General features: G+C 50.2%; 2 protein-coding genes and 1 non-coding gene across 29 annotated transcripts in view, besides 8 other annotated features; 1 reads left to right on the top strand and 2 right to left on the bottom strand.

The window, feature by feature from the left end:
* Positions 1-6,441, bottom strand: part of TSR1 (TSR1 ribosome maturation factor) — a 14,062-nt gene extending 7,621 nt beyond the window's left edge. The window contains exons 1-10 of the mRNA NM_018128.5: positions 6,315-6,441; positions 6,021-6,124; positions 5,495-5,714; positions 5,244-5,378; positions 4,456-4,880; positions 3,541-3,700; positions 2,945-3,108; positions 2,153-2,343; positions 931-1,093; positions 499-609 (exon numbers count right to left, since the gene is read on the bottom strand). Coding sequence (NP_060598.3) covers positions 499-609; positions 931-1,093; positions 2,153-2,343; positions 2,945-3,108; positions 3,541-3,700; positions 4,456-4,880; positions 5,244-5,378; positions 5,495-5,714; positions 6,021-6,124; positions 6,315-6,411 — 1,770 coding nt within the window. The 5' untranslated portion in view covers positions 6,412-6,441. The remainder of the gene's footprint in view (positions 1-498; positions 610-930; positions 1,094-2,152; positions 2,344-2,944; positions 3,109-3,540; positions 3,701-4,455; positions 4,881-5,243; positions 5,379-5,494; positions 5,715-6,020; positions 6,125-6,314) is intronic.
* On the bottom strand, positions 263-354 carry SNORD91A (small nucleolar RNA, C/D box 91A). The gene has a single exon (NR_003072.1). It is a non-coding gene; the product is annotated as a small nucleolar RNA, C/D box 91A (small nucleolar RNA).
* Positions 6,609-6,718: an enhancer, noted in NCBI's record as "active region_11490". NCBI's record gives its function as "activates an Ori minimal core promoter by ATAC-STARR-seq in GM12878 lymphoblastoid cells {active_cell/tissue: GM12878}" and the evidence as "EXISTENCE:reporter gene assay evidence [ECO:0000049][PMID:35858748]".
* Positions 6,949-7,078: a silencer, noted in NCBI's record as "silent region_7990". NCBI's record gives its function as "represses an Ori minimal core promoter by ATAC-STARR-seq in GM12878 lymphoblastoid cells {active_cell/tissue: GM12878}" and the evidence as "EXISTENCE:reporter gene assay evidence [ECO:0000049][PMID:35858748]".
* Positions 7,109-7,418: a silencer, noted in NCBI's record as "silent region_7991". NCBI's record gives its function as "represses an Ori minimal core promoter by ATAC-STARR-seq in GM12878 lymphoblastoid cells {active_cell/tissue: GM12878}" and the evidence as "EXISTENCE:reporter gene assay evidence [ECO:0000049][PMID:35858748]".
* Positions 7,485-26,309, top strand: part of SGSM2 (small G protein signaling modulator 2) — a 43,554-nt gene continuing 24,729 nt past the window's right edge. For 18 of the 27 annotated variants that reach the window (XM_011524101.4, XM_011524102.4, XM_011524103.4 and 15 more), the window contains exons 1-3: positions 7,485-7,729; positions 13,529-13,604; positions 14,507-14,644. In XM_011524101.4, coding sequence (XP_011522403.1) covers positions 7,673-7,729; positions 13,529-13,604; positions 14,507-14,644 — 271 coding nt within the window. In that variant the 5' untranslated portion in view covers positions 7,485-7,672. Of the gene's footprint in view, positions 7,730-10,359; positions 12,045-13,528; positions 13,605-14,506; positions 14,645-26,309 lie in introns of those variants that run through there. The other 9 variants (XM_011524106.2, NM_014853.3, XM_047437213.1 and 6 more) reach the window with 3 other exon arrangements.
* Positions 7,519-7,628: a silencer, noted in NCBI's record as "silent region_7992". NCBI's record gives its function as "represses an Ori minimal core promoter by ATAC-STARR-seq in GM12878 lymphoblastoid cells {active_cell/tissue: GM12878}" and the evidence as "EXISTENCE:reporter gene assay evidence [ECO:0000049][PMID:35858748]".
* Positions 7,729-7,828: a silencer, noted in NCBI's record as "silent region_7993". NCBI's record gives its function as "represses an Ori minimal core promoter by ATAC-STARR-seq in GM12878 lymphoblastoid cells {active_cell/tissue: GM12878}" and the evidence as "EXISTENCE:reporter gene assay evidence [ECO:0000049][PMID:35858748]".
* Positions 7,859-8,168: a silencer, noted in NCBI's record as "silent region_7994". NCBI's record gives its function as "represses an Ori minimal core promoter by ATAC-STARR-seq in GM12878 lymphoblastoid cells {active_cell/tissue: GM12878}" and the evidence as "EXISTENCE:reporter gene assay evidence [ECO:0000049][PMID:35858748]".
* Positions 17,690-18,627: an enhancer, noted in NCBI's record as "H3K27ac-H3K4me1 hESC enhancer chr17:2251000-2251937 (GRCh37/hg19 assembly coordinates)". NCBI's record gives its function as "activates a minimal SCP1, AML or CMV promoter by ChIP-STARR-seq in naive and primed H9 embryonic stem cells {active_cell/tissue: H9 hESC(naive and primed)}" and the evidence as "EXISTENCE:reporter gene assay evidence [ECO:0000049][PMID:30033119]".
* Positions 23,606-23,705: an enhancer, noted in NCBI's record as "active region_11491". NCBI's record gives its function as "activates an Ori minimal core promoter by ATAC-STARR-seq in GM12878 lymphoblastoid cells {active_cell/tissue: GM12878}" and the evidence as "EXISTENCE:reporter gene assay evidence [ECO:0000049][PMID:35858748]".

The following is a 26,309-nucleotide window of genomic DNA, read 5'->3' on the forward strand; positions in this document are numbered from 1 at the left end:
TCAAGCAATTCTTCTGCCTCAGCCTCCCAAGTAGCTGGGATTACAGGCATGTGCCACCACGCCTGGCTAATTTTGTATTTTTGGTAGAGACAGGGTTCCTCCATGTTGGTCAGGCTGGTCTCGAACTCCCGACCTCAGGTGATCCACCCACCTTGGCCTCCCAAAAAGTGCTGGGATTACAGGCGTGAGCCGCCGCGCCCAGCCAAACCTTTATTTTTAAGGCTGCCAACCCTTATTCAAAATCTGGTCTGAAAAACATACTTGGAGAAGTCTCAGAACCACACAGAGATTGCATCACTGAGATGCTTCAGACAGGTTCAGACGATATGAATAAAACCATCATTGACTTCTCTATTATTCTCCAATTCCTAATCATAAAGGCAGACTTTTTGCATCCCAATGAGCAAAATTTTAGTCACACATAAACAGAATTTTAGACTGTCAGAAGCAGCTGGAAAGTTTCACAACCCCCCATTTTCCCACAAGACAGCAATTTACCTTCTGTTCATGAGGTAGTAAAGAAAATGCAATCAAGGGTGTTCCTTGCCTGAAGCACTCGACCACTGAGACGGGGACTTCAGAGACATGAAGTGTGACATACCAGCCAACCTGCCACAAGAAAGCAGAAAGCAATCATGGAGTTACCTTTCAAAGTCCCAATAGCGAGGAAGCTTTCTCCAAATATGTTGAGTCTCTCAGATAAAATTTTTAAAGCCAACCCTCATCCTTCAAGATGCTTCATTTACCCAGATCACACTTTTTCATTTAACATAGCTGATACCTCTTTGTTCCCAGTATCATTCTAATCAATGACTCAGGGGCTCCCCTAATCCCCAAATGCAGCATATTTTCATGCCAAGAGAAGGAATAAAGTAGGGAGCATGTTGACAAATGAAAGCAACATACAAGATGAACAAGGAGGATAGATACCTCAGCTCCTTCAACCTCTTTTTCTTCAACCTCTTTAAAGATGCTTTTCCTAGTGTTAGTAAAGTTCTGAAACTGAAATATTCGAGCATAATCTTGAGGAAGGTTTTCCTTAGGATCCCATGGAGATGTCCGGAAGCTCTTAAGGCCTCTGTATTTCTGAAATCTAGAATATTGAAGATTTTTAAAGACATTAAGTCAGATTTATATGGTGCTATATAGACTCAAGTCACTGCTAAAATGGCTAAGGAGCTAGCTGAAAAGAACTCCAATCATCCTCTCTCCAAACAACCCAACAGCTTAAACCAAGACGACACTCCGAACAGCTTATAACAAGTTCTATCGGAACCAAACCCAAGCTTCTCACTGACAAAAAAGATGCTTGGTAATGGCCTGATACAGTTCAGATGTGTCTCCCTGCCCCAATCTCATACTGAAATACAATCCCCAGTGTTGGAGGTGGAGCCTGGTGGGAGGTGACTGCATTAGGGGAGAGGTTTTCTCATGAGTGGGTTAGCACCACCCTCCTTGTTGAGTGAGTTCTCATGAGATCTAGTTGTTTAAAGTGTGTAGCACCTCCTGCCTTGCTCTCGTTACTGCGCTGGCCGTGTGACATGACTTGCTCCCCCTCCACCTTCTGCCATGATTGTAAGTTTCTTGAGGACACCCCCAGAAGCTGAGCAGATGCCAACACCATGCTTCCTGTACAGTCTGCAGGACCATGACCCAATTAAATCTCTTTTCTTTATAAATTATGCAGTCTCTGGTACTTCTTTATAGCCATGCGAGAATGGCCTAATACATAGCCTTACCTCCTAATATCCAAAATTAATTCACTGGCTTTAGTCACTCACCTCCAGAACAGATATAATCATCTACTTCTTCACTCTTCTACTTCTGCTATTCTACCCAAACCCCCTAAAATTTCCAAACATTATATACTTCAATTGAGTACTGGCTCCTTTGGGAAGAAGTATTTGCTAATTAACCTTAGTATTTCCCCTTCATTCAAGTCCTGTAACGTGAGTCTGCACCACAGTCTAGAACTTAATTACATATGACCATTTCCCGTATGTATGTCCTGCCTTCCCATATTAAATGTTAGCTCTTCAGGAGCAGAAAAAATGTGTTTTTCTTCTTTTGCATCACAGTGACACAGCTCTGAGCCAAGTTTTTAAAAACGTATTGACTGAATTTAGATTTGTTGATAGACTTGTTGACTAACCGAATTCGAGCAGCCACATCACGGGGCGTGTCCACTTCATCTGGAAACATCTCTTCCAGTCTTTCTTGTTTATATTTCTCCAACATTTTTGCCTCAGCTTCTTCATCTACTTTCTTATCATACAGATCATCATGCACAGACTCCCCAATAGTCATAGTTTCATATTCTTCCTCTTCTTCACTACTCTCATCCTGTAGAATAGGATTACAGTTTTTTCAGAAGAAATCCACACCTGTCTCTACCCCAAAGGCCAATAAGCTAAGAGTAAAATAATTGTACTAGATCCCTATTCCCAACCAACATAAATTCTAATACAGTCTAAAGTATAAAACAAAAGCCTCATTCCTGGCAACTACAGAGTCATTCCTAAGAAACTAACCATACACGGCCGGGTGCGGTGGCTCACGCCTGTAATCCCAGCACTTTGGGAGGCCAAGGCAGGCGGATCATGAGGTCAGGAGATTGAGACCATCCTGGCTAACACAGTGAAACCCCGTCTCTACTAAAAATACAAAAAAATTAGCCAGGCATGGTGGTGGGCGCCTGTAGTCCCAGCTACTCAGGAGGCTGAGGCAGGAGAATGGCGTGAACCCAGGAGGGAGAGCTTGCAGTGAGCCCAGATCGCACCACTGCACTCCAGCCTGAGCAACAGAGCAAGACTCCGTCTCATAAAAAAAAAATAAAAAAAATAAAAAAAAGAAACTAACCACACACACCCATCAAGATCACACCTGCACTTTGCCTTACATTTGGAGCTAGACACAGAATTGGCCTAAGGCCTCATTTCCTTACCTGAGATTCCTCCTCCATAAAATCCTCATGTTCCATATCATCATATTCATATTCATCTCCTTCCCCACCACTTTGGCTGCCACCATCCAAAATCCATTCAGCTTGGTAACTGGATGTTCCTTTGGGGACCTTCTTTACCACCTTAGAACTTTCCTTCAAGAAATCTGTAAAAGCCCAAACAAATTAAGTAAATTACAGACTTCTTTTCCCTATCCCTCTGGTTATTCTCACCTAGGCAAGGCACCAGATACTGCTGCCAACATGGGAAATTCTGGCAGACACTGTAAATAGAACTACTTCCAAATTTAATTCAGCTGCCTCACAACTAGCAATACTTACACAGCTAAATAAGCCCTGCAATGAATCCAAAGTTGTTTATCTGTTCATGATAAAACATTAACACAAGTAATTTTGAGAAATGGAACAAGACTGTGTATAATGTTTGTTTATTGAAAACATACAGCATTTGAGGGTGAGGAGAGACTTTCAACTATACCCCCACCCCACTCTATCCTATAGGGCCCTCACTTGGAACAGCTACAGAAAATCCACAATTCCAGGTCAGATGAATTACAGACAAGTTTACCAATACTGACCCTTTGCCTCGCTCAGCTCCTCCTCAGTGGGCCAGGTTTGCTCTCCCTCCATTGGATCTGGGATAACCTCTGCTTGCAAGGATTCCTGTCTACCAGGGTCTGCCTTCATTAGGACTTTAAGACCTTCTTCCATATCATCTACAGCATCCGTAGCACAAATCTGAAAACCAAAAGCAGGTGATAGTCAACCATGAACCAAAAATCTCCTAAATCTAACACAGTAACCAGAAAGACCCAGAAATATCAGTCCTCATGTATAAGATGAGTGCGACAGAATGCTAAAACTTGTCAAAACTTTTCCAATGGCTGTTTTCTAATTTCCAGGGTATTTTAAGTCTCTGCTTGGCTCTTGAGGTCTTTCTTAATCTGCTCCCACTCCTATCCATTTATTACGTACCTCACTCCCATCAAGCTGATTTCTTCAAGGTTCACATAAACCCTTTGATCCACCACTGTGCCTAGGTTCATTCTGTCTCTTATCTTCTAGGATATTCTTTTATCCCTCTTCAACTCATAAATCACATTTATCCTTCTCAACACCTAGCTCAAGTCTGATCTCTTATGTGAAGCTTGCTAGTCTACTTTCTCAACTTCCACTGCTGGTCCGCACTCTAACCATATGCTATCTCAATCTTTATTTCACACATGCCATTTTGTTCCAGCCCAATTAAGTCCCTTGAGGAAAGCAACCACATCTTGAGTGTGTTCTATAAACTCAGAGCCAATCACAGTGCAGACTACCTAGAAAGTGCTGGATAAATATGTGATTTATCAACCTATTTATAACTGACTATTGCCTTACTTCAGACTAGCAGTCTCCTCATTCACCTAAGTGTACAGACTATCTTCTCTGAATTTAAGTTTCCTTCCTGTGCCAACTTTCATATGAACATGAATTAAGAATATCAGTCTTACCTCCATTGCCATGTCTGGGTCCTTTTGGGGTTTAATTCCTCTAGGATTTAAAGGGAAAGGGTCTCCGGGGGCATCTATCTGTTTCATCTGGAAATCACCATATCCAACGATATGCAGCAACCTATTGACATTCAGAGTCTGCCCTCGAACATAGCCTGAAATTTTCAAGGTGCCCACCAAGTTATTCTCTTCACTAGGAACAAAATCAACAGCATGGGCAAATAGGTAGGCCCGCCGATCTCGAAAAGCAAGATGCTGTTGCTTCTGGTTAGCCAACTGCCTAAGCAGCATCCCTGCCTCCTGTTGAGTGTCTAACAAGAGGAGTTTGTCATGCGGAAAGCGCTTCTCCACTGCTTTACTTAGCTTCTTCCTGGTATCTATTTGTTTCTTCAGTGGGAGGCCAGAAATCCCCTGGACAGCTAGTGCTGTAAGCGAAAGAGAAAACGCTTCATGACCTACTGCTTCATTACATAAAAATCCCTCTGCAGTTCACAAACAACCTAATAGCTCAGTTGCAAGCCCAGAGATCACTGGGAAGCCCAACACTGAACTACCCTGAAGGAATTTCACAGTGAAATCAAACTTCATATCCTTGTTTCTCTGGGCAAAGGACAGCCAAAAACAAAAAGACACCCTGAGTGATAATCTGTAAACAATGGATCAAGTTTAATCCATATGTGTACATCCCACCACCAGCTGAATATGATCCATCAGTTGTATTCCTGTATCAAATACCAGGCATAGTGCCTGACAAATTAAAGGTGCACAATAAATGCTAACTCACTTACTATAGGTCGGAAGGCCCTGAGCAAAGAGGCAGGAAAGACAGTAATCACCGGTGCTGTCCCAGCCTTCTAGTGGATCAAGGAGGAACAGGATGGTATCAGCTACTTTAGCCATGTCTAACACAACGTGCAGATCCCCTGCAGATAGAAGACACAGTAAGAAGAGGTGGTTGGCACCAGCACATTATTCTAAAAAAAAAAAAAAAAAATACCACTACTCAAACATAATACAAAATATTGGTGTATACTCTAACCTGGCCTTGCTGAGGTGAAAAACCACCGATGTTTCAAGCGGGGGCACAGCAGCATAAAGTTCTGGGTGTTTCCCAATTCATTCAAGTGTACTGTTCCAGTGTCCCTATCTTGAAGCAGCTGCATGGCCTCTGGCAGGGAAATTCTGCTGTGCAGGGGCACCACCAGTACCTGATGAGGAGGGCCATCCTTGCCACCCAGCTGTCTCTTCTCTGCCAGAACCTGAAAATAGAAAGATATCCGAGAACATCTCAGTGTCTCAGTACTTCACTCCAGCATTGCATTTCCACTCCCACAGATGCTCCCCCTACCCAAAACCAGCATCTCTCTAGTAAAAGACCACAGGTATGCCAGCGGGGTGGCAGGAATTCTGACCAAAGCAAAGAATGCTAGACCTGCACGCTCGACACGTGCTCTAGGGCTATGCTCTGTCCCTGGACCCTCCTCCCGGTCTCATTTTCCACTTCGAGGCATTAGCCACCTAGAACACCAGAGAAGCCGCATTCTCCCAAATCCCGCTCCTCTCACCGCCTCCTTCTTCTGCTTTCGGAGCTGGCTGGCGCGATGCCTCTGGTCGACTCTGCTGAGTTCTTTTCTCACCTTCTTGCTTAGGGTTTTCAGTGCCAGACGGCCTGAATGGCAGATTAGAAGGGGCTGGTGTGATCGGCCCCACAAGGTCAAGAAAAGGGACTCCTCTCCGCCCACCTTAGAAAGGGCCTTTCGCGTGGAGCCCAGACGGGAGACAGAAGCTCAGTCTGGGCATGAGGAAAAAGAGTTAATAACGGCCAAATAGCCCTTATTCCTTCTACGTTATCTCCTTACCCTTGCCGTCCCGCTGTGCAGATCCCCGACCCCGATGCCGTCCGCCTTTATGAGCTTTATTCTGCTGCTTGAGCGGGCCGGGGCGGTGGGCCGCCATGCCGCAGCGCGCGTGTACGGAGTCAGCACTGCTTCCGGGCCAGGACAAGCGCTTCCGGTCCCCTCCAAGGGGGCGGGCCCTCCAGGGAGCGGGACTCCCTGCGCCCTCTCGCGAAGGTCTTTTCCAGCAGCTCGTGAGAGCGCCGTGTTAGCGGGTTCGCCAAGCCGCGCTGGGAACTTTTCCCACTTCGCAGTGTGTGGTTGGGGGCTTGAAGGCGCCGGATGTAGACTGTCGAGGCTCGGGCTGTTGGTCTAGCAGGGCTGTTTGTACCCCTTGCATTGTCATTTTTTTGCGCTATAAAGCTGCATCACGTAGAAGCATGTTGACTGGAAGGCTCCATTCGTGCCGAAAAGGCCTAAGCCCTTCCTGTCACCTAGATTCGGGCACGTTGCTCTTCCGTTTGCAACGGCATGTTCTTTATCACTCTGAGCAACCTTTCTTCTCCCTCGATTCCCTAGCGAGGCTTGGGAATCGCGTGGAAGACACTTCTCTCACCTTGCCCGGTTCCGTACCAGCTCAAGCCCGTCCCTGTTACTCCAACCTGCGCCCCGCCTCCCACGGAGCGGCCGGGAAGGACCTTGTGGGACGTGGCGACCCGGCAAGGGGGACTGGCCGCGACCCTCCGGCCGTCGGGCTCGGGCGGCTGCGCTCCCACTAATCTTCCCAGAAACTTGACAACTGCACGGCGACGGCCGGACGGGGATTCAGAGGGGTCACGGGGCCAGGCTGCACCGGCTTCGCCGTGGGCAGGCTCGGACCGCAGGGGACCCCATGCCCGAGCCCCGGCCCTTTCCGTCCCGTCGGGAGAGGGAGCAGGCAGAAGTCAGGGGAGCTTCAGCGGGACCGAGGCTCGCTCTCAGCCGCGGGGCCGCGGGCTCCAGGGCCAGCGCTCACAATGCGGCTTCGCGCCCTCCATGCGGGAGCGGGTGCGTTGCCATGACAGCGACCCCCGTGGCGCGCGCCCGGGTCTGCCGCCCCTAGGCGCGCACGGCCTCTCCCCGCCCCGATCCCCCGTCGCTGTGCGCAACCCCCCTCCGGCTGTGGGAAGGGGCCGGGCCTGCCGCCTGACGTCTGTGCGGGGCTCGGAAGATGGCTGCGGAGCCGAGCACCGGGCAGTGGCTGCGGCGGCGGCGGCGGCGGCGGGCCGGGAGCGCGGCGGGCGGGGGCTCCGCCTTGCGCGTGGGGCGCTGAGCCGAGAGGCGCGGAGGCGGCGAGGGCGCGGGGGCTCTGAGGACCGCTCGGCGCCGCCTCCTGCCACACCATGGGCAGCGCAGAGGACGCAGTCAAAGAGAAACTGCTGTGGAACGTGAAGAAGGAGGTAAAGTCGAGTCAAGAACCCCGGGGGGCTCGCGCCCTGGCCCGCGCGGCCCAGGGGGCAGAAAGGTCCGCGCCCACCCCCCGGCGCGGGCACCCGGGCCGAACCTGGGCCGGGCGGGGCGGGTCCTGGACGGGCTGCGCCTCCTTCCCCTTTCTCGGATGGGGGAGGGCAGCGCCCCTCTGCCCGGGGGACCCGGCCGGCGCTCCCGGCTTGTTTGCTTCGCAGCCCCGCAGCTCCCCGCCCAGTGACGGCAGCGGCGCTGGGAGCCCAAGGCCGGGGGAGGGGTGGCGGCGATGGCGGGGATGGCTGGATCCGGAGCTGCCCATTCAGTGCCCGCGCCGCCAGGGGAGGGGGCGGGGCCCCGCGCGAGCTCCCGCGGCGCAGGTGGGTGTCGTGCGGGCCGAGCTTCCCCACGTCCTAAGTGGGTGTCGTGCGGGCTGAGCTCCCCCTTGTCCGACGTCCGCTGTGCCTCCAGCTACGGAGTGATCGCTGCCGGAGGGGTGCGCCGCACACCTCAGTTTCTCCCTCCACGCCCACCTCCTTAGCCAGGGACCAGGGGCTTGTTTGGAATGGTTTTTAACACTCGGAAGTTTTTCCCTTTTGAGGGAAGCCCCCCTACTTCAGAAAGAGAAGTAGTCCTTCCCTCTACTAACTCCGTTTACCTTGACCCTGCCCAAAAGCCCATTTCCATTTCGGGTGGGGGGCAGTGACCATGTGAATGACTCACTCCCATATGAGAGCTGGAGAGCTCCAACCCACAGCGCAGCTTAGAATACATTGGGCCTCCTTCCCCTGCCTGCCTCTGTGGCTGTTGTCTGCCTGGTAAGTAAACTCCACCAGGGCAGGAGACCCTCTGTTTTGTCCACTGCCTTGTATCCAGTGCCTGGCATACTGTAGGCACTCCGTGACTGTTTGGTAAATAAATGTGCTGATTTTGGAGACTTCGAGGCCTGGTGTTTGGAAAGCATACATTTTGGAATAGTCTGGACCTAATTCTGTGTGACCTTGAGTCTCTATGCCGTCTCCCTAATATATATATATATAACCTCACGCCTGTAATCCCAGCACGTTGGGAGGCCTAGGTGGGTGGATCACCTGAGCTCAGGAGTTCGAGATCAGCCTGGCCAATATAGTGAAACCCCGTCTCTACTAAAAATACCAAAATAAGCCAGGGGTGGTGGTGCGTGCCTGTAATCCCAGCTACCCGGGAGACTGAGGCAGGAGAATCGCTGGAACCTGGGAGGTGGAGATTGCAGTGAGCCGATATTGTGCCACTGCACTCCAGCCTGGGCGACAGAGTGAGACTCCGTCTCAAAAAAAAAAAAGTTTACCTTAGCTGAGCCGTAATTAGAGTTTCAGGGTTGGGGAAGCGTCTGGACTCTCATAACATCCTGGAAAGTGGACAGGCGCGGTGGCTTACGCCTGTAATCCCAGCACTTTGGGAGGCTGAGGCGGGTAGATCACGAGGTCAGGAGTTCCAGACCAGCCTGGCCAAGATGGTGAAACCCCATCTCTACTGAAAAAAACAAAAAATACAAAAATTAGCCAGGCACAGTGGTGGGCACCTGTAATCCCAGCTACTCGGGAGGCTGTGGCAGGAGAATCGCTTGAACCCAGGAGGTGTGGTTGCAGTGAGCCAAGATCGAACCACTGCAGTCTAGCCTGGGCGACAGAGCAACTCTCCGTCTAAAAAAGAAAGCTGGGCATGGTGGCTCACGACTGTAATCCTAGCACTTTGGGAGGCTGGGACGGGCGGATCACGAGGTCAGGAGATCGAGACCATCCTGGCTAACACGGTGAAACCTCTCTCTACAAAAAATTAGCTGGGCGTGGTGGCGGGCGAATGTAGTCCCAGCTACTTGGGAGGCAGGAGAATGGCATGAACCCGGGAGGCAGAGCTTGCAGTGAGCCCAGATCGTGCCACTGCACTCCAGCCTGGGCGACAGAGCAACACTCCATCTCAAAAAAAAAAAAAAAAAAAGTCCCGGAAATCTCTAGATGGTTCTCATGCGTTAGCCATGGCCTGGCTACTAGGCCCTAATGTTTGTTCCCACCCCTCCCCTTGGTAAAGATGTAGTTGAAGCCATCAGCTTTCCCGCTTGTGGGAGAAGCTTCATTATGTCTTTGCTGTGAAGAGGCCCAAAAAAGGATTTCTTAGGCCAGGGGTGTATCAAGTCAGCATTTAAGCCCAATTCTGCTCTCCCCAATGAAAAGAGAAATCTTGATTCTCCTGCAAAAGGAAGCAGTCTAGTGACAGAGACTTGAACAGTGTAAACAAAATAGAAAAGTACTTGTGTCTACACTTGAGGTGGATATGCTGGGATTATAGATATGGCTCAATTTTGGAGGTTAGTCACAGATAATGGGAAATACTTTTTTTTTTTTTTGGAGACGGAGTCTTGCTCTGTCGCCAGGCTGGAGTGCAGTGGTGCGATCTCAGCTCACTGCAACCTCCAGCTCCTGGGTTCAAGCGATTTCCCTGCCTCAGCCTCCCAAGTAGCTGGGACTACAGGCACATGCCACCACACCCAGCTAATTTTTCGTATTTTAGTAGAGATGGGGTTTCACCATGTTGGCCAGGATAGTCTCGATCTCCTGACCTCGCCTTGGCCTCCCAAGGTGCTGGGATTACAGGCATGAGCCACTGCGACCGCCAGGAAATATTTTTTAAGAGGATGATGACTTTTTCCACCAGTGCTTAGAAACTGGACTATACTGCTCCAAAAGTGATTCCTAAGAAAATGTGAGAAATGTCAGAATATGCCACAGCTACGTATCATTCCTGACAAAAGTTGACCTGCTCTGAACTCATGTTTCTCCTTTCCTCCTTCAGTGTTTGATTTCTTTTTTTTTTTTTGAGATGGAGTCTCGCTCTGTTGCCCAGGCTGGAGTGCCGTGGCGCCATCTCAGCTCACTGCAAGCTCCGCCTCCCGGGTTCACGCCTTTCTCCTGCCTCAGCCTTCTGAGTAGCTGGGACTACAGGCGCCTGCCACCACGCCCGGCTAATTTTTTGTATTTTTAGTAGAGACGGGGTTTCACCATGTTAGCCAGGATGGTCTCGATCTCCTGACCTCGTGATCCGCCCACCTTGGCCTCCCAAAGTGCTGGGATTATAGTCGTGAGCCACCACGCCTGGCCCAGTGTTTAATTTCTACAGAAACATCCTGTCCCTTCTGCAAGGAAAAACAACAGGAATATTGGTAGACCAGGCTGGCCTTTCACAAAGGACCACTGGTATAATTCTAGGGGTATCTGCAGATCCTTCAACCCAAAAATCCTCCCCATCAGCCTGCTTCAGATGCCTCCAGGTCTTTAGCTGTGACATTATCCTCTGTTGAATGCTAACATCCTTGGGAGGTAATCTAGGAAGTTTTTTTTGTTTGTTTGTTTGTTTTTTTGAGATAGAGTTTCACTCTTGTTGCCCAGGCTGGAGTGCGATCTCAGCTCACTGCAACCTCTGCCTCCGGGTTCAAGTGATTCTTCTGCCTCAGCCTCTTGAGTAGCTGGGATTACTGGCACCCACCACCATGCTTGGCTAATTTTTGTATTTTTAGTAGAAATGGGGTTTCACCATTTTGGTCAGCCTGATCCTCCCAAAGTGCTGGGATTACAGGCGTGAGCCACCATGCCCAGCCGTCTAGGAAGCTTTTAACAGCTTAGAGTGCATTTGCATTAATTGATCTGATCCCCTTTTACCTGAGCACTAACCATTAGCAGTTTCCGGCAGGGAGGGGCCTCCAGGTCCTTCTTCCCGCCTCCCCAGGCTTTTGAGGTTCTACCACCCTCCAAACTATACAGTCTTGACTAAGGGTCTTGGGAACCTGGACAGCATCAGAACATTACATTCCTGTCTAAAGAATGGGGAAGACTAGCTCTACCCAAGGCTCACTTTATGTGTAACATTCTGCACTAGGTAATCTCTATAATCTCCAGTACTAGGACTGCCTGCTAGCAGGTTCTCCCAGGACATCAACAGAGTTTGGGTTAAATGTTGGGAACCACCAGAACCTCATACATGGGAGTGTAAAGTGGTATAACCAACTTTGGAGAACAATTTGGCAATATCTAATAAAGTGTGTGCATCAGACATTCCTTGCCTAGAAACATAAATCCCAAACATTTGTTCACCAGAAGACAGTCCTCAATGTTCACAGCAGCAGTATCCATAACAGCCCCAAACTGGAAACCACCCAAACGCCGGGTGTTTGTACGTTCACACCACGGAGAGTGAACAACCTACAACTGTACACAACGCGCACGGAGAATGAACAATCTACAGCTATACACAACATGAACAAATTTCAGAATGACACAGGTGAGCAAAAGAAACTAGTCACAAAACACTACACGCTGAGTGATTCCACTTATAAAAAGTATAAAAACCCAGGCCGGGTGTGGTGGCGGCTCACACCTGTAATCCCAGCACTTTGGGAGGCCAACGCGGGTGGATCACCGAGGTCAGGAGTTCAAGACCAGCCTGGCCAACATGGAGAAACCCCGTCTCTACTAAAAATACAAAAAAAAAAAAAAAAGCCAGGTGTGGTGGTGCATGCCTGTAATCCCGGCTACTGTGGAGGCTGAGGCAGGAGAATCTCTTGAACCCGGGAGTTGGAGGTTGCAGTGAGCTGAGAACGCGCCACTTCACTCCAGCCTGGGCAAAAGAGCGAAACTCCATTTCAGAAACAAACAAACAAAAAAAGTATAAAAACCCACAAAACTGTCGTGTTGGAATCAGGAGAGTGGGTACCCTTAGGGGGAATAGTGACTAGAAGGGAAGGTGATGAGGCGAGGGTGTTGGTCACATGTTCTGTTTCTTGCTCTAGTTGCTGATTTCACAGGAGTGTTCAGTTTGTGAAAATTCACCACGCTGTGTAATTGTGATATGTTCTTTTATATGTTTACTGCACATCAGTTAAAAAGATTTCTTTTTAAGTGCTTTCTTAAAGAAATGACTGAGCACAGTGGCTCACGCCTGTAATCCCAGCACTTTGGGAGGCCGGGCGGGTGGATCACCTGAGGTCAGGCGTTCAAGACCAGCCTGACCAATATGGTGAAACCCCATCGTTACTAAAAATACAAAAATTAGCAGGGCGTGGTGGCATGCACCTGTTGTCCCAGCTACTCGGGAGGCTGAGGCAGGAGAATCGCTTGAACCCGGGAGGCAGAGGCTGCAGTGAGCCGAGATCACGCCACTGTACTCCAGCCTGGGCAACAGAGCGAGACTCCATCTCAAAAAAAAATGACTGTTTACCTTACAAGGTATTTGGGAACTTTTACATCCAGGTGGGAACCCCAAACATCAGAGTTCTAGACCCTAGATGGAAAGAAGGCTGGGCTTTTGAGCATGTAGAGGGTGTCCCTGAGGTATGAGACCTACCCCTAACCTTGGAGAATAGGGAGAAAAGGAGGAGGGGCAGGTTGTTTATCTGCAGGCTGTACCGAGATGGTTTGTCTCTAAAGGACAGTATATCTGCCCAGAAGCCCTTCGTGAGCTGAGAACAGATGAGCAAACAGCATCCTATTCCTGTTCTCCAAGGCAGGGCACTTCCACCTGGGCTGGAACATGCACTGATTGTTTGATGGGTTTTTGGCATCTCTTTCCCTGGTTTCCCCTCCAAAAGACTGGAATCAGACTGTGCTGAAGAAACTTTGCTTCCCCACACCTTTCATCCCTGTCATCTCTGCAAGTGTCTGAAAGTGCCCTTCAGACCAGAAGGGCGGAACCAAACTATTTATTTGCCCAGAGGTCTTTGATAAGGGAAAATAATAAAAGCAGTGATGCTGTCCATGTGTCCGCAGGTGAAGCAAATCATGGAGGAGGCTGTCACCAGGAAGTTTGTGCATGAAGACAGCAGCCACATCATTGCTTTATGTGGTGAGTGAGTGACTGAAGGATGATGGGAGGTCGGTCTAGAGCCGAGGACACTGGCCTGGGGCCAGGAAAAGATGAGTCCTCAGGTGCAGTAGCTCTCAAATCTGGCTGCAAGTCCAAATCAACCTGGAAGCTTTTGAAATCCTCTTTGGCCCCATTTGCAGACCTACTAAATCAGGTTCTTCAGGGGTCAAGAATCTGCGTATTTTTTGTTCCCCAGGATAGTAATTCTCACATTTTAGCATGTATCAGAGTCACCTGAAGGGCTTGGTAGAACACAGATTTCTGGGTCCCAACCCTGGAGTTTCTGATTCTAGTAGGTCTGGGGACCCCACTTTGAGAGCCGCTGCCCTAGGTCATTTGAGTTCAGGAACCAGTGCTCTGACTGATTTTGATTTTGACTTCAGGGAGGGGTTTGTGCTTTTCGGATGCTCTGTGCCACTTTCCCTTTGTTTCCCACCCGTGTTGCTCCATGATCCTAACCCCAAGCCCTTGACTGGATGCAAAGGAGCCTGAGCGTGGGCTAGGAGAGGTGGCTAAGGCTTCCAGCCTCAGAAGGGACTCTCTCATCACCTCCTTCTCAGTGTGGCCAAGCCTTCCAGCCCCAGAAAGGAGAGAGTCGCTTATAAACCATTTCCGCCTCCTCAGCCTGAAGACTTTTGCTTTGTAGGAGCAAGCCTATCCCTACGCACAGACTCTTCTTGGATTTCTAGGAATTTCAGCTTCCTCTCAACCCCCCATCTGAAGGGACAGGGAACCATTCACCTTCTCTGTGTTGTATTCCTTGGCCTCTGAGATTGGTGTTGGGGTTTGTGGAGGGAAAATAATGAAAGAACAGATAAGGGAAGGGATGCTTTGGACGGTAGTGTGGCACAGCAGATACAGCTGCCCTTCCCCTCATCCAGCAGCAGATCCCCACCAAGGGCTCACCAGGTGCCAGACACCGTTCACCGTGCAAGGAAATGGCAGTGACAAGATGGACAGAGTCTCTGCCGCAGGAGCTTACATTCTGTTGGGGAGACAGACAGGAAACAAATGCGCAAGTAAATATGTCATCCAATAACTTGGCATGTGATAAGAGCTAGGAAGAAAAAACATGTGGGAGGGCAGTCGGAGAGGCAGCCTCTGAGCAGAGTCTGAGTGACAGACTGGGGTTTGAATCCTGGCGTCCTGCCTTTTAAGTCGTCTTGGACAAGTTTCTTAACTTCTCTCACCCTCAGTTTGCTCCTCTAAAAACAGACTGATGATTCCCACCTCAAGGAACTTTCGTGGGGATTGAGATGATGTGTGTAAATGTTCATTCGTTCGTAGCATTGTAAGCACTCAAAGAATATTCGTCTCTCCTCCTTTGGCTGTTGAGGCTGAAGGTAGGTTTGTAGGACTTGAGTTCATACCATGTCCGTTTGGGAAGGTTTCCCCAGTTCTTTGAGATGGTGGAATAATGATTCCTAGGTTTACAAGACACAGCCTGACCTCAGTTTTTCTCAGCAGAACCTATGCTCTGGAAAAAAAAAAGGCATGCCAGTATTATGATAAGCAACTTTGAAGAGTATTAGAATTCTCGGCCGGGCACAGTGGCTCACGCCTGTAATCCCAGCACTTTGGGAGGTGAGGCAGGTGGATCACCTGAGGTCAGGAGTTCGAGACCAGCCTGGCCAACTTGGTGAAACCCCGTCTCTACTAAAAATACAAAAATTAGCAGGGCGTGGTGGCGGGCGCCTGTAATCCCAGCACTTTGGGAGGTGGAGGTGGGCGGATCACGAGGTCAGGAGATCGAGACCATCCTGGCTAACACGGTGAAACCCCGTCTCTACTAAAAATACAAAAAATTAGCCAGGCGTGGTGGCGGGCGCCTGTAGTCCCAGCTACTCAGGAGGCTGAGGCAGGAGAATGGCGTGAACCCGGGAGGCGGAGCTTGCAGTGAGCCAAGATCGCGCCACTGCACTCCAGCCTGGGTGACAGAGCGAGACTCTGTCTCAAAAAAAAAAAAAAAAAAAAATTCCTACTTTTTAAATACTGACAGCTAATTCCCATTTAAAAAAAAATTGTGTGGGCCACACAAAAGACATCTGCCAGCCTCTGCCAGTGTGCAGCCTCTGTTTTGGGTTCGGTACAGTCACGGAGAACAGGAGCAGGAGAGGTTCCAACAGTATCGGGCTAAGTCAGGCCAGGGTATCTCAGGGCCTACAGACAGAGAAATCCTTATGCTTTGTCAAAATTGGTGCTCAGTGGTGAGCTAAATCCCAATTTGGGCTGAAACTGAGGCTCGTTGAAAGCATTGATTATCAACCTTTTTCCTCTGCCTGCAAAGCAGCTTCCTTGCATTGCATGGTGGAATCACGAGAGACTCTTGCGGGGGACGGGGAGGGAAGACTAGCAAGGTATGGATCAAAAACACCACCCCTCTCTGCCTTTTTGGAGATTCTGATGTGCCAGTCTCCCTCAGTCCCTGGAAAAATGCTCTGAAATGCATTTTTAGTCTGAAGTTGATCCAGACTTAAACTGTGCCTTGCTACTGTCCTAGCCACGTCCGAATTCAGCTTTGTTGTGGGAGAAATGGGAGTATAGAGAACGTGCTGAGAGGTCAAGAGCAGAGTGAAGTCTGTGGAGACTGGATTACCAGCCTAGCGACACCACGGTCCCTAGTTTCAAGGGACCCTTGTGTACTGGGCCCCTCAACTCCACACCGACCCATGGTTCTTGGCAGAGGAGGGTTGGGGGTGACTGAGGAGAGCCAGGCCTAGGCAATACAAGCTTCTCTGAGCTTCTTAGAATGCAGACATTTAAACAGAAAACACAGAGCCTTCCTGGAGAGCCTTCCTGAAGAATCACTGTGTCAAGACCTGACCATGGGCAAACCCAGGAAAGTTTGCAGCCAGATCCCCATTCCTGTTACCCAACGGGAGGGGCAAGACTCCTAGGACTGGCTAGAAAATTGCTTTGTTGAGTGTTTGCTGTGGTTGTTCCTAAACCTGTCTGTCCAGAAGCTGGACATGCAGTAGGCCCCTGCGAGTAGAAACTTTCCTTGTGTGGAAGTTTTCGCTGGCAAACCAGTCTGGCGGCAGCAGGGGGGTGGGTGGGGTTCTCTGTGTGCTGTTCCCAGGCCCGAGGATCAGAACCTATGTAACTGCCACCTCCGTGCCAGTGGAGGGTGGCGCTAGGAGAATGGACTCAAAACTACCACTATGGGGCCAGGCATGGTGACTCACACCTGCAATCCCAGTGCTCTGGGAGGCTGAGGCGGGAGGATCCCTTGAGACCAGAAGCTTGAGACCAGCCTGGGCAATATTACAGGATGCAGTCTCTACAAAAAAATAAATAACTCGCTGGGCATGGTGGTGCACGCCTGTAGTCCCAGCTACTCCAGAGGCTGAGGTAGGAGGATCACTTGAGCCCGGGAGGTTGAGGCTGCAGTGAGCTATGATTGCACCACTGCCCTCCAGCTTGGGCAACAGAGAGAGAGAGAGACCCTGTCTCGTTTGTTTGTTTATTTATTTATTTATTTAGAGACGGAGTCTCACTCTGCTGCCCAGGCTGGAGTTCTGTGGTGCTATCTCAGCTCACTGCAACCTCCGCCTCTCAGGTTCAAGCAATTCTCCTGCCTCAGCCTCCTGAGTAGCTGGGATTACAGGTGCCTGCCACCACACCTAGCTAATTTTTGTATTTTTAGTAGAGACAGGGGTTTCACCATGTTGGCCAGGCTGGTCTCGAACTCCTGACCTCAGGTGATCTGCCCACCTTGGCCTCCCAAAGTGCTGGGATTACAGGTGTGAACCATCACACCCGGCCTCATTTTTTTTTTTTTTTTTTAAACAAAATCCAAAAACTACCACTGTTGGGGAGAGGTCTTTGATATATCCTTTTATCCTTTTTATCTTAAAACATCACATCAAGTTTACATTTTTCTCTATCATATGGTTTTTGGATTTTTTTTCATTTTAATATAAAGACTTACTGTTGAATTAAAGTATAGGCTGGTATCTCCTGTCGCCCCCTCCCCTGGAGGGGAAGGTGCTTTTGTTTTTTCTTTTTTTTTTTTTCCAGATGAGGTCTTGCTATGTTGCCAAGATTGGTCTCAAACTCGTGGGCTCCAGGTATGCTCCTGCCTTGGCATCCCAAGTAACTGGGATTACAGGTGCATACCACCGCCCGAGGTCCATAGTGTTTTATTTACCCTATTCCGATTGGGCACTGAGTTTGCATTTTAACCTTTGGCTGGTAGAGCAGGTTTCAGAGGCTCACAGAGAGGCTTCTGGCCAGGCAGAGCAGGTTCTCAGGCCAATCATATCTCCCAGGACCTCAGCCTCCCCACCCCCCAGGGATTGGGGCAGACACCAGCCTGCCTCCTCAGTCACCAGATTCCCTGCCCTGCTGTGTGCAAGTGGGTCAACATGAGGGTTGCTTCAGACTGAGGATGAGCTGTAATTCGAGAAGGGTGGAATCTGTGGAGCCGGGAATAACATCAGGCTTTATTAACCAGCTCCCTGTTGCTAGGCAGCTTTCATTAGCCAGGAAGGTCTGCCCTGCAGTGAGCTCCTTCAGGGAATGGCAAGGAGATGCTAATAAGCTGGGAGAGAAGCCGGTGCTAGGGAAGGCTTGCCTCTCCCCTGGGATATTGCAGCCAGCGATATTTCAGCACATTCTGAGATTTGGACTCCAGGCAGTCTTCAGCCTGTCTCTTTTCAGTAAAAGGGATTCCTGGAGGCTGAGGTGGGAGGATCCCTTGCAGGAGTTCGAGACCAGCCTGAGCAAAAAAGACCCCATCGCCACAAAAAGGAGGAGCGGGTTCCTCCTCCTTCCCACCCACAGGGAATGAATAGCTCATTCTCTTGCTATCTAACTCGTGCCTTCCATCTAGAAATGATCTAAGAGGAAGGAGGGAGCTCTGAAGGAGCTGACTCCCCTCACTCTATCTTGGGGCATTGCGGAGGGCATATGGGGATGTTCATAGCTGGGACTTTGGGGTCACACAGACCTGGGTTCACATCCTGGCTGTGCCACGAAGTGTGTAGCCGTGCTTACTCATCTCTGAGCCTACCCCAGAAGGCAGATGTAAGGAACAGAAGAGCAATGCAGGCAACACACACAGCATGGATCTGAGTATGCAGAAGGTGCTCAATCGCATTCTACTTTGGTTTTTATTTTGTTTTGTTTCGTTTTGTTTGAGATGGAGTCTCACTCTGTCTCCCCGCTGGAGTGCAGTGGTGTGATCATAGCTCACTCAGCCTCGACCTTCTGGGTTCAGGCGATCCTCTCACTTCAGCCTCCTGAGTAGCTGGGTCTACAGGTCTACGCGCCACCACACTCGGCTACTTTTTTGTATTTTTGTAGAGACGGGGTTTCGCCATGTTGCCCAGGCTGGTCTCAAACTCCTGACCTCAAGTGATCTACCCGCCTCGGCCTCCCAAAGTGCTGGGATTACAGGCATGAGCCACCACCCCACCCCACATCTGCTTTGTTTTTGAAAGGGAGCATAGGCCGGGCACAGTGGCTCACGCCTGCAATCCCAGCACTTTGGGAGGCTCAGCTGGGTGGATCACCTGAGGTCAGGAGTTCGAGACCAGCCTGGCCAAAATGGCGAAGCCCCATCTGTACTAAAAATACAAAAATTAGCTGGGCATCATGGTGCACGCCTGTAATCCCAGCTCTTTGGGAGGCTGAGGCAGGAGAATCACTTGAACCTGAGAGATGGAGGTTTCAGTGAGCGAGATTGTGCTGCTGCACTCCAGCCTGGGCGACAGAGCGAGACTTGGTCTAAAAAAAAAAAGTGACCTTACAACCTTTCCTATAAAGCCTCCTCGAGCCTTCCCCAGGATTCCATCTGGGAATCTGTGTTTCTGGAAGTTTGGAGCATCTGGAGAATCAGAAATTTGAACATCAGGAACTCAATAAGGAAATTTGATAATATAAAGGAATTGTTACCAATTTTGTCAGTGTAATAGAGGTATAAGTGCATGTTTTTAAGAGTCCTCTTTCAGAGATAAATATATATGATGTCTAAAATTTGCTTCAGAATAATCCAGTGGTAGGAAACAATGGTTGCAGGCGGAGGAGCTGAAGCAAGATGGTCGTGACTTGATCATTGTTGAAGCTGGGTAATGAGTACATGGGCAGCTGTTATACTGTCCCCTTTTCCTTCTGTATATGGTTGGAATTTTCCCTAGTGAAATGTTTTGTTTTTTTTTTTTGAGATGGAGTCTCCCTCTGTCGCCCAGGCTGGAGTGCAATGGAGCGGTCTTGGCTCACTGCAAGCTCCGCCTCCCGGGTTCACACCATTCTCCTGCCTCAGCCTCCCAAGTAGCTGGGACTACAGGCGCCCACCACCACGCTCGGCTAATTTTTTGTATTTTTAGTAGACATGGGGTTTCACCGTGTTAGCCAGGATGGTCTCAATCTCCTGACCTCGTGATCCGCCCACCTCGGCCTCCCAAAGTGCTGGGATTACAGGCGTAAGCCACCACGCCTGGCCTAATTTTTGTATTTTAGTAGAGATGGGATTTCACCATGATGCCCAGACTGGTCTCAAACTCCTGACCTCAGGTGATCCACCTGCCTCGGTCTCCCAAAGTGCTGGGATTACAGGTGTGAGCCACTGCATTTGGCCTAGAATGTTTATATTCACATGGGAAGTATCTAATAGGGAAAAATTGCAGGCATAAAAAAGAGAAGAGAAGTTTGCTGGAGGAGCGTCTTTGAAAAGGTGCAAGGGAGGTGGGGTGCGGTGGCTCACACCTGTAATCGCAGCACTTTGAGAGGCCAAGGCAGGTGGATCACCTGAGGTCAGGAGTTCTAGACCAGCCTGGCCAATATAGTGAAACCCTGTCTCTACAAAAAATACAAAAATGTGCCGGGTGTGGTGGCGCACGTCTATAATTCCAACTGCTGGGGAGGCTGAGGCAGGAGAATCGCTTGAACCCAGGTGGTGGAGGTTGCAGTGAGCCGAGACCGTACCACTGCACCACTGTACTCCAGCCTGGGCGACAGAGTGAGACTCTGTCTCAAAAAAAACAAAAAAACAAGACATAAGAAATGGTGCAGGGGCAGCACTCCAGCCTCCAGCGTGCCGGTGGAAGGTGACCTCAGAGACAAGTCCAACTAGACCATCCCTAGGAACGAGAGGAAGGCAGGGACTGGGCATGAGGTGCAGGGAGGGAAGGCACCTGCATTCATCAGTCCCCTTCGGTGTGGTAGGCAGGGGCCGAGAAGCCTTTCACACCTTGGGATATGCTGTTACTTTTCATCACCCAGCATCCATTGAGGTAGACCCTGATTTTCTCCCTAATTACATCAGAAGCTCAGAGAGGTTTAGTGACTTGACCAAAGTCAAACAGCCAGTAAGGAGAGGAGCCCGTGGGCTGGGCGTGGTGGCTCACGCCTGTAATCCCAGCACTTTGGGAGGCTGAGGAGGGTGGATCACTTGAGGTCAGGAGTTCGAGACCAGCCTGGCCATCATGGTAAAACCCCTTCTCTACTAAAAATACAAAAATTAGCCGGCCATGATGGTGGGTGCCTGTAATCCCAGCTACTTGGGAGGCTGAGGCAGGAGAATTGCTTGAACCTGGCAGGCGGAGATTGCAGTAAGCCAAGATCACGTCACTGCACTCCGACCTGGGCAATAGATCGAGACTCAGTCTCAAAAAAAAAAAAAGGAGAGGAGCTAGTGTTTGAACCCACCTCTGTCTTGCTCCAGACTCTGTGCTGCCCAGGGATTGGTCTGCCTGTGAGGCCTACCCAGGAGTAGAGACTAGAGGGGCGGCGGCATTGAGGAGTTGGCCCTCATGCAGACGAAGCTCTGGTCATTGAACTGTGGGCTTATGGTGTCCAGAGACACTCTAGGAGACTGTGGCTTCCTTACCCAGCCAGCTGAGTGTGCCCACATCAGTGTCCACTGCATGAGAGGCTGGCCCTGGCCTGGTTCCCTGGGTAGCCGCCATGAGCACTGTGCATGCGGACCCTGTCTTGCATCTCCAGCAGGACAAGGACAATGGGATGTGTAGCATGGATTTCATTTCCCCCTCCTTGGTTCTAGGTTCTGGGTTCAGGCGATCTCTCACTTCAGCCTCCTGAGTAGCTGGGTCTGCAGGTCTACGCACCACCACGCTCGGCTACTTTTTTGTATTTTTGTAGAGACGGGGTTTCGCCATGTTGCCCAGGCTGGTCTCAAACTCCTGACCTCAAGTGACCTACCCGCCTCAGGACAGTTCTTTATCCTCCCAATCAGAGTCCAGTTGCGAATGTTGCTTTCTTGTTTTGGGGGTTGAGCAGGGCTGAATGCCTTCCAAAGTTGAAGCAAACAACCAGTATCACCAGTGCAGGCTGAGAGAAAATGCACCCTAGTTACCGCAGAAACGCTCATCTGAGTAAAGGCAGCCACTACAAATCCCTGGGTGGAAATAGCCAGGGAGAGAAGCGGGGAAGAGAGGGGCAGGTCACACTTGGCGATGGCCCTTCGCTCCTCTCACCTTGTCTGTGGCAGATGAAACACTGGCTCCTTCCACCGGCAGTTGGAGTAAAGATACTTGATGCTTCTTCTCCTTCAGTTGTTACTTGAAAGAGGCGGGTCCTCCCACCCATTCCTTTATCTCCAGGAAGGCTGCTCCTCTCCGGCATTGTTGGTTCCACCATCCAGGGACCTGAACCACTGGCCCCCAGGCAGGCATTGGGCTTTTGAATTCTGCTCTAATTAGCGTCTCCCAAAGCCCCAGGTCCAGAATGGACTACCTGAGGCTGGCTGCCCTGCTTGCACTTCCTCGCTTGGGTTCTGTGTGGCAGCGGTGGCTGAACTCCCCTGTCGTGCAGATGGCAGCTGGTAGCAAAAGGTGAAACCGGGCCGGAGGTGGGGAGCAAGCCACACCTGCCAACTTGCTGTCCTCCCATTCCCAACTCCGGGCCCAGCATCTCAGGCCCAGTTTCATGTTGAGTTGTGCTAACTCTGTCCCTGTACCTCAAGCAAACTAGGCTAGTCCTCTGAAGGCCACTGAGTGGTTCCCACTGTTACCAGGCTGGGCTTGTCCAGGCTGCTGAGTGCAGCTTTCAACGTAGATATATATGCACATGAGAGCCAAGGCAGAATGCAGGTGCAGAGACCCAGCCCTGCTTCTGAGGCTCCCTGGGCTGACTGATGACCCTCCTAACCACTGCTGCATTTTCTTTTTTTTTTTTTTTTTTTTTTTTTTTTGAGACGGAGTCTCGCTCTGTCGCCCAGGCTGGAGTGCAGTGGCGCGATCTCGGCTCACTGCAAGCTCTGCCTCCCGGGTTCACGCCATTCTCCTGCCTCAGCCTCCCGAGTAGCTGGGACTACAGGCGTCCGCCACCACGCCCGGCTAATTTTTTGTATTTTTAGTAGAGACGGGGTTTCACCATGTTAGCCAGGATGGTCTGGATCTCCTGACCTCGTGATCCACCCGCCTCGGCCTCCCAAAGTGCTGGGATTACAGGCGTGAGCCACCGCGCCCGGCCCACTGCTGCATATTCTAGCAGCCGAGCTATAGTTCATTTCTGTGAGCTCCTGAGACACCTTAGCTTGTCTCAGCCCTCTGGATCGTTTCTCTAATCCCTGCCCCGCTCAGGTCACCTGCTGCTGCCCTAAGCAGAGCCCACATGCGCCCCCTAGTGGTGGGAAACCAAACGATTCCACAGATCCTGTTTGTTGAGGGAGGAGGTGAAACGAGATGCCCACGGGCGACCCAGCCTTCCTGGGTTTTGTGAATTCTGATTCACACCTAGATTGGAGAGACTCTCTGGCATCATCTCATGATGGGAACCCTAGTGCTGGTCACCCACTCAATTATTATAATTAATTTTGCATTCATAATATATTTAACTGGTTCAAAAATCAAAACCATATAAAAAGGATACAGTGGGGCCGGGCACATTGGCTCACACCTGTAATCCCAGCACCTTGGAAGGCTGAGACGGGCAGATTGCTTGAGCTCAGGAGTTCGAGACCAGCCTGGGCAACATGGTGAAACCCTGTCTCTACTAAAAATTTTTAAAAATTAGCCAGGCATGGTAGTGCACGCCTGCAGTCCCAGCTACTCAGCAGGCTGAGGTAGGAGGATCACTTGAGCCTGGGAGGCAGAGGTTACGGTGAACAGAGATTGTGCCCACTGCAGTCCAGCCTGGGTGACAGACTGAGACTCTGTCTTTAAAAAAAAAAGCGTGCAGTGAAAAGTCTCACTCCTTTCTCTGCTCTTATTCACCCACTTCCTGTCTATGTACGAGTCCCACACAGGTAACCACTTTTGTTTCTCATGCATCCTTCTAGAGGTTTTCTTATGTTGGTTTTTTGTTTGTTTGGTTGTTTTTTGAGACAGGGTTTCATTCTGTCACCCAGGCTGGAGTGCAATGGTGCAATCTCAGCTCACTGCAACCTCCTGGGCTGGGCTCAAGCAATCCTCCCACCTCCACCTCCTGAGTAGCTAGAATACAGGCTCATGTCACCACACCCAGCTAGTTTTTAAATTTTTTGTAGAGATGGGGTCTCCCTGTGTTGCCTAGGCTGGTCTCAAACTTCTGGGCTCAAGTGATCTTCCCACCTTGGCCTCCCAAACTGTTGGGACTATAGATGTGAGCCACTGCACCTGACCTAGAGTTTTTTTGTTTGTTTTTTAGTAGAGACGGGGTTTCACTATGTTACCCAGGATAGTCTCAATCTCCTGACCTCGTGACCCACCCGCCTCGGCCTCCCAAAGTGCTGGGATTACAGGCGTGAGCCACCGCGCCCAGCCAAGTTTTTTATACTAATAAAAAAGATTGTATTCTTTGTTCACACCTCCCTTTTTGTAATTAAAAGGTGTCATGCAATTATACCATTCTGCATCTTGCTGTTGGCGAGCTTTCCATTATTCATTCCTAGAGAGCATCCTCATTCTTTTTCAGAGTTGCATGATATTCTGCTAGAGATGTACCATATTTACTTCACCTGTCCCCTATTGATGGGCATGTGGATGACTTCCAGTCTTTTGCTGTTATAACTAAATAATCACGCAGTTATATCTGTAGGACGGATTCTCAGAAGAGGGGTTACTGGATCAGAGGTTATTTGCAGCATTAGTGGAGAGGGCCATATTGCGTCTATACGGGTTGCAGCATCTTGCCTACCTACCAGCAATATATGAATGGATTCAGCAGCTCCCCACGTCCCTTCCATCTGTGTCTTCCTGGCGTCTCCTCTACTCTAAATTGGGTCTCTTGGAATGGTGAAATCAGTGTGTAAGGGTTGGGGGCAGGGACCCTATATCTTAGAATGGTGGAATCGGGGTGTAAGCGTTGGGGAAGGGACCCCATATCTTAGAATGGTGGAATCGGGGTGTAAGCGTTGGGGAAGGGACCCCATATCTTAGAATGGTGGAATCGGGGTGTAAGGGTTGGGGGAAGGGACCCCATATCTTAGAATGGTGGAATCGGGGTGTAAGGGTTGGGGAAGGGACCCCATATCTTAGAATGGTGGAATCGGGGTGTAAGGGTTGGGGGAAGGGACCCCATATCTTAGAATGGTGGAATCGGGGTGTAAGGGTTGGGGGCAGGGGCCCCATATCTTAGAATGGTGGAATCGGGGTGTAAGGGTTGGGGGAAGGGACCCCATATCTTAGAATGGTGGAATCGGGGTGTAAGGGTTGGGGGCAGGGGCCCCATATCTTAGAATGGTGGAATCGGGGTGTAAGGGTTGGGGGAAGGGGCCCCATATCTTAGAATGGTGGAATCGGGGTGTAAGAGTTGGGGGAAGGGACCCCATATCTTAGAATGGTGGAATCGGGGTGTAAGGGTTGGGGCAGGGGCCCCATATCTTAGAATGGTGGAATCGGGGTGTAAGAGTTGGGGGAAGGGACCCCATATCTTAGAATGGTGGAATCGGGGTGTAAGGGTTGGGGAAGGGACCCCATATCTTAGAATGGTGGAATCGGGGTGTAAGGGTTGGGGGAAGGGACCCCATATCTTAGAATGGTAGAATCGGGGTGTAAGAGTTGGGGGAAGGGACCCCATATCTTAGAATGGTGGAATCGGGGTGTAAGGGTTGGGGAAGGGACCCCATATCTTAGAATGGTGGAATCGGGGTGTAAGAGTTGGGGGAAGGGACCCCATATCTTAGAATGGTGGAATCGGGGTGTAAGGGTTGGGGAAGGGACCCCATATCTTAGAATGGTGGAATCGGGGTGTAAGGGTTGGGGGAAGGGACCCCATATCTTAGAATGGTGGAATCGGGGTGTAAGGGTTGGGGGAAGGGACCCCATATCTTAGAATGGTGGAATCGGGGTGTAAGGGTTGGGGAAGGGACCCCATATCTTAGAATGGTGGAATCGGGGTGTAAGGGTTGGGGGAAGGGACCCCATATCTTAGAATGGTAGAATCGGGGTGTAAGAGTTGGGGGAAGGGACCCCATATCTTAGAATGGTGGAATCGGGGTGTAAGGGTTGGGGAAGGGACCCCATATCTTAGAATGGTGGAATCGGGGTGTAAGAGTTGGGGGAAGGGACCCCATATCTTAGAATGGTGGAATCGGGGTGTAAGGGTTGGGGGAAGGGACCCCATATCTTAGAATGGTGGAATCGGGGTGTAAGGGTTGGGGAAGGGACCCCATATCTTAGAATGGTGGAATCGGGGTGTAAGAGTTGGGGGAAGGGACCCCATATCTTAGAATGGTGGAATCGGGGTGTAAGGGTTGGGGCAGGGGCCCCATATCTTAGAATGGTGGAATCGGGGTGTAAG

This window comes from Homo sapiens, chromosome 17 (genome assembly GCF_000001405.40).
Source record: "Homo sapiens chromosome 17, GRCh38.p14 Primary Assembly".
NCBI lineage: Eukaryota > Metazoa > Chordata > Mammalia > Primates > Hominidae > Homo > Homo sapiens.